Source organism: Homo sapiens, chromosome 15 (assembly GCF_000001405.40).
Source record: "Homo sapiens chromosome 15, GRCh38.p14 Primary Assembly".
NCBI classification, from domain to species: Eukaryota; Metazoa; Chordata; class Mammalia; order Primates; family Hominidae; genus Homo; species Homo sapiens.
In genome coordinates, this window is record NC_000015.10 from 83,931,615 (window position 1) to 83,943,510 (window position 11,896).

At 35.9% G+C, this 11,896-nt stretch overlaps 1 protein-coding gene across 12 annotated transcripts in view; it reads left to right on the forward strand.

Annotated features, from left to right (window-relative positions):
• Positions 1 to 11,896, forward strand: part of ADAMTSL3 (ADAMTS like 3) — a 385,720-nt gene that overhangs the window by 277,492 nt on the left and 96,332 nt on the right. For all 12 annotated transcript variants that reach the window (XM_011521823.3, XM_017022434.2, XM_011521822.3 and 9 more), the window contains 2 exons: positions 10,982 to 11,174; positions 11,289 to 11,468. In XM_011521823.3, coding sequence (XP_011520125.1) covers positions 10,982 to 11,174; positions 11,289 to 11,468 — 373 coding nt within the window. The remainder of the gene's footprint in view (positions 1 to 10,981; positions 11,175 to 11,288; positions 11,469 to 11,896) is intronic.

Here is an 11,896-nt window from a genome sequence, read left to right on the forward strand (position 1 = left end):
AGACTTCCAATTAAGATGGTGTTGTAACATCATATTCTGTTCCAAATACAGATCAATGGTAGATGCAGTATAAAAGGGGGCCTATCAAAGACACAAGTAAGAAAACAACTACCTGGGCTAGGAAAGGAATGGAAACATGAGGTGGTGAATGGAGCTGCACTTGTGGTTATTTGGAGCTTGAGGTCCCAAAGCAATTGTAGCAAATGACAGTTCAGTTTCTAAGATAAAAGAAAAATAGTTGATGATTTGGGGAAAGGGAAGAAAATTAAGAAATATGGAAGTAACGTCAGAGAATGAAGATATGAAGTAAACTGTTTACTAAAACTTAGGAAAAAATATCCACTCCTAGTATCAAGAGAAACAAATGAAAATAAATCCCTACATAGATATGAAATAGTGAAACTACAGAAAATCAGGGACGATAAGAAAATCTTAAAAGCTACCACTCATGAAAAACAGATTAACTACAAACAACTTATCAACAACTGGAGTTTCTGGAAGACAAAGGAATAATATCTTCAGAATACTGAGGGAATATCATGATCACCATAGAGCTAAACTTGCTGAACTATTATTTCAAGTATGTGACTGTATACATCAGTTTCTAACCACATGATGGACTTGATATCCTTAAAGGCTTTTTGCTAAATACCTCTAAAATACTGGGTAAAATATGTAAAACATATCTTGAAATGCAGAACTAAGCTTGTAAGAAAGTAAGAGAAATCCTCAGAAGACAAAAACAAGCTGAAGCATTGCCTTAGTGGGGACAGTTGTCAGTCTCAGTAACCTACACTTTTTGGCTTTAAGATCTTTTGCCTGATAGACAAGTCCTTAGACCTTCAGAAAGTAAGGAATAGAATGGAGATTCCCCATACAAAGCCAGGGTCTACCTCAATGGAAAGGCAAATTCAAAAAATGAAATCCATCCTGTAAAGAGAGATTGCAAGGAGAACTATCTGTCTCAGGTCTGCCTCTGAATGGAAGGAATCAGAAAGGCTCCCCTGAGAATCTAAGAGCTACAAGTAGCCCTTTATGTAGGAGTAGGGTTTATATTCACTCTATGTGATCCAAAAAATTAATTCATACTGGTCTTGATAGAGGTGATGTAAATCCTGCAAGGAGGAATGTATCTTCTACCCAGACCTTAAAATTCCCACAAAGACATAATGAGCATTAGCTCATAATCAAAATTTTTTAAAAACACATGAAGAAACAATGTGTGAGAGTCAGTGGGGGAAAAAACAGAATCAGATACACAGAGCATCGTAAATTGGAATTATCAGGTACAGAATATAAACGTATTTATTTAAAATGTTTACATATATAAAACAGGAAATTAAAAATCTACGCTATGAACAATAAACTATCAAAAATACTTGGAAGATTGTTTAGAAGAACCAATTATCACATTGAACCATCTGAAACTTTCTATTTGGTCAAAAATGGTCAAATATTGGCAGTTTATATGGTTCCACTAATAGAATATCTAGAAGTTAAAAATACAGTGATTGAAATTCAAAAGTTATGTGCTGGAGTAAACAGGTAAAATGGAAGAGAGAGCTGAAAAAATTACCCAGAATAAAGCATGGAGAATACATAAAATATGTAAAATATCCACAAAAGGTAGATACAGAGGAAATATTGAGAAGGTTTATCATATATAAAAATGGAGTTTCAAAAAGAAAACAAGAGGTGGCATTTTTCCCCTGCTCTACAGGTCTGTGGAACTTTAAACCAGAGGGGGTGATATAGGATATCTTGCAGAAGAAATTTCTAAGAAGCAAAGCATTCAAGAGGTAACTTGGGTGCCTTAAAAAGCATTTAGTTTTATGCATTCACAAAGAGATGATTTGGAATTGGAACTTATGTTTAAAAGGGAAGCAAAGCATAAAAGTTTAGAAAATTTGCAGCCTGACAATGCAATAGAAAAGAAAAACCCATTTTCTGAGGAGAAATTCAAGCCTGCTGCAAAAATTTGTATAAGTAACAAGGAGCCAAATGTTAATTGCCAAGACAATGGGGGAAATGTCTCCAGGGCACGTCAGTGGTTTTCATGGCAGCCCCTCCCATCACAGGCCCAGAGGCCTAGGAGGAAAGGATGGTTTCATGCTCTAGTCCCAGGGCCTTTGCTGCTTTGTGCAGTCTCAGGACTTGGTGCCCTGCATCCCAGGCATGGCTAAAATGAGCCAACATACAGCTCAGTCCATTGCTTCAGAGGGTGCAAGCCCCAAGCCTTGGTGGCTTCCACGTGGTGTTGGGCCTGCAGGTGCACAGAAGCAAAAATCGAGGTTTGGGAGCCTTTGCCTAGATTTCAGAGGATGTCCAGGCAGAAGTTTGCTGTAAGGGTGGAGCCTTCATGGAGAACCTCTGCTGGGGCAATACAGAAGGGAAATGTGGGGTCAGAATCCCTACACAGAGTCCCCACTGGGACACTGCCTAGTGGAGCTGTGAGAAGAGGGCCACTATCCTCCAGACACCAGAATGGTAGATCCACTGACAGCTTGCACTGTGTTCCTGAAAAAGCTGCAGACAACGTCAGCCCATGAAAGCAGCTGGGAGGGGGGGCTGTACCCTGCAAAGCCACAAGGGCGGAGCTTTCCAAGACCATGGGAGCCCATCTCTTGCATCAGTGTGACCTGTATGCGACACACGAAGTTAAAAGGATATCATTTCAGAGCTTTCAGATTTTACTGCCCAGCTAAATTTTCGACTTGCATGGGCCCTGTAGCCCCTTCATTTGGGCCAATTTCTCCCATTTGGAATGGATGTATTTACACAATGCCTGTACCCCCATTATATCTAGGAAGTAACTAACTTGATTTTCATTTTACAGGCTTATAGGCAGAGGGGACTTGCCTTGTCTCAGATGAGACTTTGGACTTGGACTTTTAGGCCAATGCTGGAATGAATTAAAGCTTTGGGGACTGTGGGAAGGCATGATTGGTTTTGAAATGTGAAATGCACATGAGATTTGCGAGAGGGGATGAAATGATATGGTTAGGCTTTGTGTCCCCACCGAAATATCATCTTAAATTGTAATCCCCATAATCCCCATGTGTCAAGGGAGAGACCAGGTGGAGATAATTGAATGCAGTAATGAAAATTAAACTCCTTTCTCCAGAACTTAATAAGTAAAATAATTCATCCAAAAATACCCCCAAAAATATGCTAAGAAAAGAGAATCACATCAACAAATGATTGGATAAAGAAAATATGGTATATGTACACAATGGAATACTATTCAGCCATAAAAAAGAATGAAATCTTGTCTTTTGCAGCAACATGGATGCAACTGGAGGCCATTATCTTAAGTGAAATAACTCAGAAGTCGAAAGTCAAATTTCACATGTTCTCACTTACAGGTGGGAGCTAAATAATGTGAACCCATGAACATAGAGTGTGGAATAGAATTTGGAGACTCAGACAGGTGGGAAGAGGGTAAAGAATGAGAAATTACCTAATAGGTACAATGTACATTATTCTGGTGTTGGTTGCAGGGAAAGTCCAGACTTTATCACTTTGCAATATATCCATGTAATGAAATTGCACTTGTACCCCTTACATTTCTACAAATTCAATTTTGAAAAAGAAGAGAGAATCATATTAAATTCTCCCACTTTTTAAGTAAAAAAATAGCGGTAATACCCAGTGGTGACAGATTCAGAAAAAAGTTAGGAAATGTTCTTGTAGATAAGCGTCTGTCATTCTGATGGATCATGACTAGTGCATTCACTTGTGATTCCTTTGCCTTTAAAAAATAATGATATTAAAAGAAAAAATAAGTGCCTTATACTGTGAAAAATGATAAAAAGGACTTCATGATTCTAAAAAGAAGAAAGAGACTTATCAAAGAGATAATAAGAGGGAATATTTCAGAATTAATGAAAAAATATGAAACCTAAGAATTGGGAGTCACAGCAAATCCCAAACGGGAAAAAAAATACACACTCAGATACATTGTTGTTAAACTTTAGAACTCTAAAGACAAAGAAAATCTCAAAGTCAGAGATATAGAAAAGATCCAGGAAAGGAACAATAACAAAAACTGCCATTTTTCCTCATGAGAAATAATGAAGCATTATCTTCAAATGGCTCAGAAAAAAAATTCACTGTCAGCCTAGAATTGTATACTTATTAAAACAACATTTTAGAGATGAAATAGGGATATTTTCAGATTGTAATAGTATCTCCTTATGCAGCAGGTGTCAACAAAGTAGTCTTATAGTAAGGTTATATGACAATTAAATGAGTTAATACATATACTTTAAAAAGAGCTTGGCACATCATAGGTAATCAATAAATATTTACTAATATTATGTTAAGTATTCTAGGTGAACAAAACCAGGAAATTGCACTATCAGCAAATTTTCACTAAAGACAATTTTAAAGAATGTATTCATTAAGAAGGAAAATGATCCCAGAAGGAAGGTCTGAGATATAAGAATGAATGATGACCGAAGTATATTGTAAAGATATTTAATCTAAAAAAGTTTATTGACTATGGAAATCAATAATAGTTTCTGATTTATCAATTTGAAAAAAGAAATATTGTCCAACAAAACCTTGTAAAACTCAGAGAGATTGATTAATTAAAGTGCTTTAGGCCCTTATACCATTTGTTAAGATGGAAATGATTTTGGTTAAGTCTAGAGTTGTTAAATAGGGCCTTTAAAATTCTAAGGGTAAACCTAAAAATAAAATATAACAGAGGGGAAAACAGAATAAAAACTATAACAAGCAAAATAAATGCTCACAAAAACACAGGAAATAATTAGAATGAGAAGAATGGAAAAGTCAGGAAAAACAGAATTCTTAACAATAGTAACAGATGAAAGTAGTTCAAGATAGCTGAGAAATCCTTTCATCTTGATCAATAAAAGGATAGACATACTGAACAACTGTAGACTTTTGTTATAAACATTTATAGTTATGCTATAAAAACCCTGGAAGATAACCTAGGAAATAACATTCTATACATAGGACCTGGCAAAGATTTCATGACAAAGATGCCAAAAGCAATTGTGACAAAAACAAAAATTGACAAATGAGACGTAATTAAACTAAAGAGCTTCTGCACAGCAAAAGAAACTATCAACAGAGTAAATAGCCAACCTACAGAATCAGAGAAAATATTAGCAAACTATGCATCCAGTGAAAGCTCAATATCTAGAATCTGTAAGAAACTTAAACAAATTCAGCAAAAAACCAAAAATCCCTTTAAAAAGTGGGCAAATGATGTGAACAGACACTTTCCAAAAGAAGACCTCCATGTGGCCAACAAGCATATGAAAACATGCTCAACATCACTAATCACTAGAGAAATGCAAATCAAAACCATAGCGAGATACCATCTCTCACCAGTCAGATGGCTATTATTAAAAAGTCAAAAAATTACAGATGCTGGTGAGGTTGCAGAGAAAAGAGAACATTTATACGCTGCTGGTGGGAATGTAAATTAATTCAGCTATTGTGGAAAGCAGTGTGGCAATTTCTCAAAGAACTTAAAAAAATTACCGTTTGACCCAGCAATTTCATTATTGGGTATATATCCCAAGAATTATAAATCATTCTACCATAAAGACACATGCACACGTATGTTCACCGCAGCACTATTCACAATAGCAAAGACATGAAATCAATGTAAATACGCATCAACAGTAGACTGGATTTAAAAAAATGTACATATACACCATGGAATATTATGCAGCCATAGAAAAAGAATGAGATCGTGTCCTTTGCAGCAACATGAATGGAACTAGAGATCATTACCTTAAGTGAACTAATGCAGGAACAGAAAACCAAATACCACGTGTCCTCATTTATAAGTAGAAGCTAAATATTGAGAATACATCAACACAAAGAAGGGAACAACAGACATCAGGGTCTACTTGAGGGTGGAAGGTTGGAGAAGGGAGAGGATTGAAAAAGTACCTACCAGGTACTATGCTTATTTATATGGGTGATGAAATAATCTGTACACCAAATGCCCATGACATGCAATTTACCTATATAACAAATCTGCACATGTACCTAAAATAAAATGTTTAAAAATTATCATTACGTATGTTAAAAGTCAAGGATCAGTGCTAAATGAACAGAAATACTAATTTATGTATTGATTTTGTCTTTTTGCATGTTAATTGAATGTAAAATTTCTAGAATTCAAAAATAATCTAAAACTTGTATCACCTTATATTAATCAGGGTTCCTAGGTATAAGCAGTATAAACTAATTGTGCTTAACTTGAGCTAATAATAAACTTACTAGAAAGATGCTAAGTGGTCCACAAAAATAATAGGCTGGATAACTAAGTTTATAAATTTTTCAGGAGCTAAGGGAGATTAAATTGAAAGAAAACACAAAGTCATACCAAAGTCATGTCTGGTTAGGTATTTCTGGACACTTGTGGCCATTACTGTCACATTGTAAAGATATTTAATCTAAAAAAGTTTATTGACTATGGAAATCAATAATAGTTTCTGATTTATCAATTTGAAAAAAGAAATATTGTCCAACAAAACCTTGTAAAACTCAGAGAGATTGATTAATTAAAGTGCTTTAGGCCCTTATACTATTTGTTAAGATGGAAATGATTTTGGTTAAGTCTAGAGTTGTTAAATAGGTGATGCACTCACCACCAATGCCTGGTCCCATATACCACTTCCACTCGGTGGTGGGCCACTGCTGGTCACATCTAACTATATGACTTTGCAGATAGATAATGTCCCCTTTATGATAAGCAGCTTGTCACATGGTCATCTGATGGGTCATGGTCAGGTGTTCCACCATGGTCAGGTGTTTAGTATCTAAAAACGCCTAGAACTAGGCTAGAGCTATTTTATAGGAGGAGCATTGCTACCCTTTAAAAGGGCAGATTTTATGTTATGTAAACTGCATCTCAATAAAGCTGTCATTTTAAAAAAAGCATTTCACAGCGAAGACATTTAATTTTTTGTTATGGTTACATTTTCTTTTGGGTGCAAGTTTTTTCTCTGGAGTTGGCAATCTCCTTACTTTTTTTTTGTTTGCCTAATTTCAATGATCCCATCATTAACTTATTCTCAAAATCTCTATCAGAGTTTATTCTCTCAGTACATTCAAATATATATTTTGTTTTTTACATATTCTGTTTCATAACTTTCTTAGTGCTTTAGCACTGTGTGTTTACATTGATTTCTGGTCAACTGAGATGTTTCATTTGTATGGGGGAATGTCTTACCCTTATGTCTTTCTTTAACTGGTATTGCTATTTTTTGTAACAAAGGGGTGCTCAATTAGATATTTTGCTCTATTCTCCAGCCCTCTCTCACCTTCCCGCCCCCAAGCCCTTGCTTTTTTGGATGCGCTAATTCAAATTAAAAATGTTTTTTATCATGAATATCTGTTAACATTTACAAATGTTTTTCTGTCTCTATTGAAATGATCATATGAATTTTTTCCTATAGTTTGCTATGTCGTAGACACTGATTGATTTTCCAAGGTTGAACCAATTTTGCCTTCCTAGAATAAACCCAGATTGGTCACCATGTAACATTATTTTTCACTTTATCACTTGATTGCTAATATTTTATTTAGGATTTTTAAATCTGTTTATGAGTGACATAGGCTTAAATGAGTTGGGAAGTTCTTCTTCTTTTTTTTTTGAGAGTTTATATAAGGTTGGAATTGTTTATGCCTTAAATGTTTAGTAGAATTTCACCAAGGAAGCCATCTGACATGGAGTTTATTTTAGATACTTTAAATAACAAATTTAACTTAATAGATATAAGACTATTCCGATTTCTCTTCACTTGTGTGTTAGTTTTGATAAGTTGGTTTTTGTAGGAATTTTTTCAGTTCATGTAAACTTTCAAATTTATTGACATAATGTTTTTCATTACTTATTGTACTTTTTTTATGCCACAATGTCCCTTCTTGAATTCCTGATTTTATAATGTGTGCCTTCTCTCTTTTTTCTCCATATTTTATCAATAATTTATTAATCTTGTTGGTCTTTTGAAGGACCAACTTTTTTTTTTTTTTTAGACAGAGTCTTGCTCTGTCACCCAGGCTGGAGTGCAGTGGCCTGATCTCAGCTCACTGAAAGCTCCGCCTCCTGGGTTCAACCAGTTCTCATGCCTCAGCCTACCAAGTAGCTGGGATTACAGGCGTGCACCACCACACCCAGCAAATTTTTGTGTTTTCAGTGGCGATGGGGTTTCACCATGTTGGCCAGGCTGGTCTTGAACTCCTGACCTCAGGTGACCTGCCCACCTCAGCCTCCCAAAGTGATGGGATTACAGGCATGAGCCACCGCACCCCGCCAGGACCAACTTTTTGTTTCATTTTCTAATTCATTCATTTTATTCTCATGTTTATTGCTTCCTTTCTTCTACTTTTTTTGGGATGTAATTGCTATTCTTTTTTTAACCTCTTGAAATGGTTACTTAGATTATTATTGTCAAACTTTTTTAATATATCATTTAAGGCTATTGATTTTCTTCTAATCATGGCTTTAGCTAAATTCCACAAACTTTGACATTTGATATTTCTATTAGTGTGCATTTAAAAATACTATTTACTTTCCCTTGTGATTTCTTCTTTGGCCCATGCGCAATTTAGAAGATTACAGCGTACTTTCTAAGTATTTGGGCTTTATCTAATTTAGTTCCACTGTGGTCAGAAAATATACTGAATTAGTCACCTCACACTGCCATAACAAAATACCGTAAGGGTGGCTTCGAAGACAGAACTGTATTTTCTCACAGTCTGGAGGCTGGAAAGTCCAAGACTAAAGGGTTCAGTTTTTGGTGAGGGCTCTCTTCCTGACTTGCAGACAGCAGATGTCTTGCTGTGTCCTCACATGGTGGAGAGAGAGCAAGCTCCCTGGTGTCTCTTTTTACAAAGGCACTAATCCCATCATGAGGGCTCCACTCTCATGTCCCCATCTAACCCTAATTACCTCTCAAAGGTCCCATCTCTAAATACCATCATGCTGGGGTTTAGGGCTTCAACATTTGAATTTGTTGGTGACACAAACCTTCAGACCACATCACAGACCCTGTATTGTTTTAATCTGTTGATTAATTTGCTTCTTTTTTATTTAGAATTTATACTTTCATTTAGGATTCAGGATATATAACCACATGCAAAAGTTTGCTTTATATATATTTGTCAGCTTTTGTGTTCAGATTTTTTCTAGCTTTATAATATGCATAAAATAAAATATTTTCATCTTCTTATTTTGGAACATTTAAGATAATATGGGAATTCACCTGTTTCTTGAAAATTTGTAGGACTTGACCACAAAACTAGTGAGGTCCAGTCCCTTTCTTGAATGGAACTTTTGTAATTCCTTAGAAAGTTATCTATTTTACCCATATTTTCAAATATATTATTAAATCTCCTATATTCTTATTAATGTCTGCCTTGTTAATATGCCAAGGGTTTAGCAAAGTATTTTAAATATTTTAAATTTTTTAATTTTTTTTGTCCATTTTTCCTATACTTCATAGCTCATGCTTTTTACAAGTTTATGTTTTATATTTAATCTCCATACTTGTATGATTATATCTTCATTGTGAAATTTTTCCTTCATAAATAAAACTTTTATTCTTTTGTCCTATTATATCTGCATTAAATACTACTTTTCATTTTATTTTTATTTATACAAGTAGGAGGTGTTTATAATAGAAAATTAGAAAAGAGAAAAACTGAGAATCATTTTTAGATTAAATACTAATTAATTTTTTCAGAGAAATAATATTTTTTCCAATATGAGTGCTTATTTTAATAAAAATCAGAGAAAAAATCAGCAAGAATAAAGAAAATAAAAATCCTATAGTTAGATATCATCACTGGCAACATTTTAATGAATAATTATTCAGATTTTTTTCTGCATGCATTTATAAATGCATAAAATAGGATTATACTCTACAAATTATTTTATGACCTTTTCTTTTCTATTAAAAATATATCATGACTGTATTTCTATGTTAATAACTATACATCTACTTTATTATTTTAATGGCTGCTAGCATTGTGCTGTATGAATGGACAGTTATTTTCTGCTATATTGTTAAACATTTATATGATTTCCTTCCATTTTGTAAAATGTAATTCAATTTAATTTTTGTGTGTGTGCTGTTATTACACACTACCCTGGAGCCAGCATCCTTTTATGAACATTTTAAACATTTAAAAATGGTTTCCTCATGATGTATCTCTACAGTAACTAGTGAAGAATTCATGTTTGCTAATTAAATATCCACAAATTAAAATAACCATAATGTGTAATTTTTCAGCCATCAGATGGGCAGAGACTTTTCTCAATGATATTCTCCAATGTGGTTAGGGGTGTGGGCAACTAGGTGCTCTCAAATGCTTCTGGTGGGAGTGTAAATTGGGAGAATCTTCCTTGAAGGCAACTTGGAAATATGTGTCGAAAGCAGCTGCCCTGGTTTTTCATTTTTACAGATGTTTTATGAGAAAACCTGATTTTTCCAAGATCTTATTGGAAAGGAATCACATTATATATATGTTGTAAATCCAATCCTAACATTAAAGAATTTTCTTAGGGATATTCCAAATAATGAAGCCAGGTGCCCTGAAGATTTCCTGAAGTGTGCTTTTAAACATTTAAAATTTCTTTTGACACCTATATAAATCATCATTGCCTTGGGGCTCCATTCAAAACAGAACCAGGATTTTATTTTTGATATATAGTGGTAGGACAGGATGGGAACAGATCTGCTGCTTTTTACTCTGGACTTTCCCAAATGGGAAAGATCTTTAAACACTTTCCTGACATTTCTTGCCTTTAAATACTATATTTCTGTGTTTTAATTGCGTATATTGATGGAGATGCTGTGACTGTAGAATCTGTATACAGGGTGTGAAGTCTGGAAGCCCAGAGGAGAGCTTCACGTTGTTCATGCTCTGATGGTTGCACGTTGGTTTATTGGACTGTTCAACTTTCCCCACTTGTTTTCTGTTTTAGGTGGCATGTGGGCTCTTGGGGGCCCTGCTCAGCTACCTGTGGAGTTGGAATTCAGACCCGAGATGTGTACTGCCTGCACCCAGGGGAGACCCCTGCCCCTCCTGAGGAGTGCCGAGATGAAAAGCCCCATGCTTTACAAGCATGCAATCAGTTTGACTGCCCTCCTGGCTGGCACATTGAAGAATGGCAGCAGGTAGGGCAGACTGGCCACTCCAGGGCCCTCTGTGATTATGACTGTGAGAGGCCCTGCACTGCACTAACATAGAGTGGGCCAAGCCTGCCGCCTCACCCCCTCTTGTCTTCTTAGTGTTCCAGGACTTGTGGCGGGGGAACTCAGAACAGAAGAGTCACCTGTCGGCAGCTGCTAACGGATGGCAGCTTTTTGAATCTCTCAGATGAATTGTGCCAAGGACCCAAGGCATCGTCTCACAAGTCCTGTGCCAGGACAGACTGTCCTCCACATTTAGCTGTGGGAGACTGGTCGAAGGTAAGGGCCAGGCTCAACTTTATAGTCCCTTCTTTTCTGCCCCTCCTTTGTTTCAGCTTCTAAATATTTCCACAAGATCAGGCTGGAACTACTGTGAGATGAGTATGGGTCCTAGGGGGCCACATTTAAGGAGGTGCTCACTCACTCTCGGGTTTGTGCAAGTTCCGTAGTCCAGGCCTGCACACAATGATTCATTTCCAGTTTTTACTCAATATTATTCAAAGTGTTATCATCATCATTCTCCCAAACCAGCCCCTTCTTTTGGAACTACCAGGATCATAGTATCCCAGGATAAACTCAGAATCACTTTGGTTCCTCTCTTCCTTGTGTCCTCCCATGTGGAATCATTCATTAAGCCCCGTCATTCCAACATTTTGAACATCTTCCATGCCTTAACTTCCTCTGTGTTCTGTCACTTATGCTGTTAA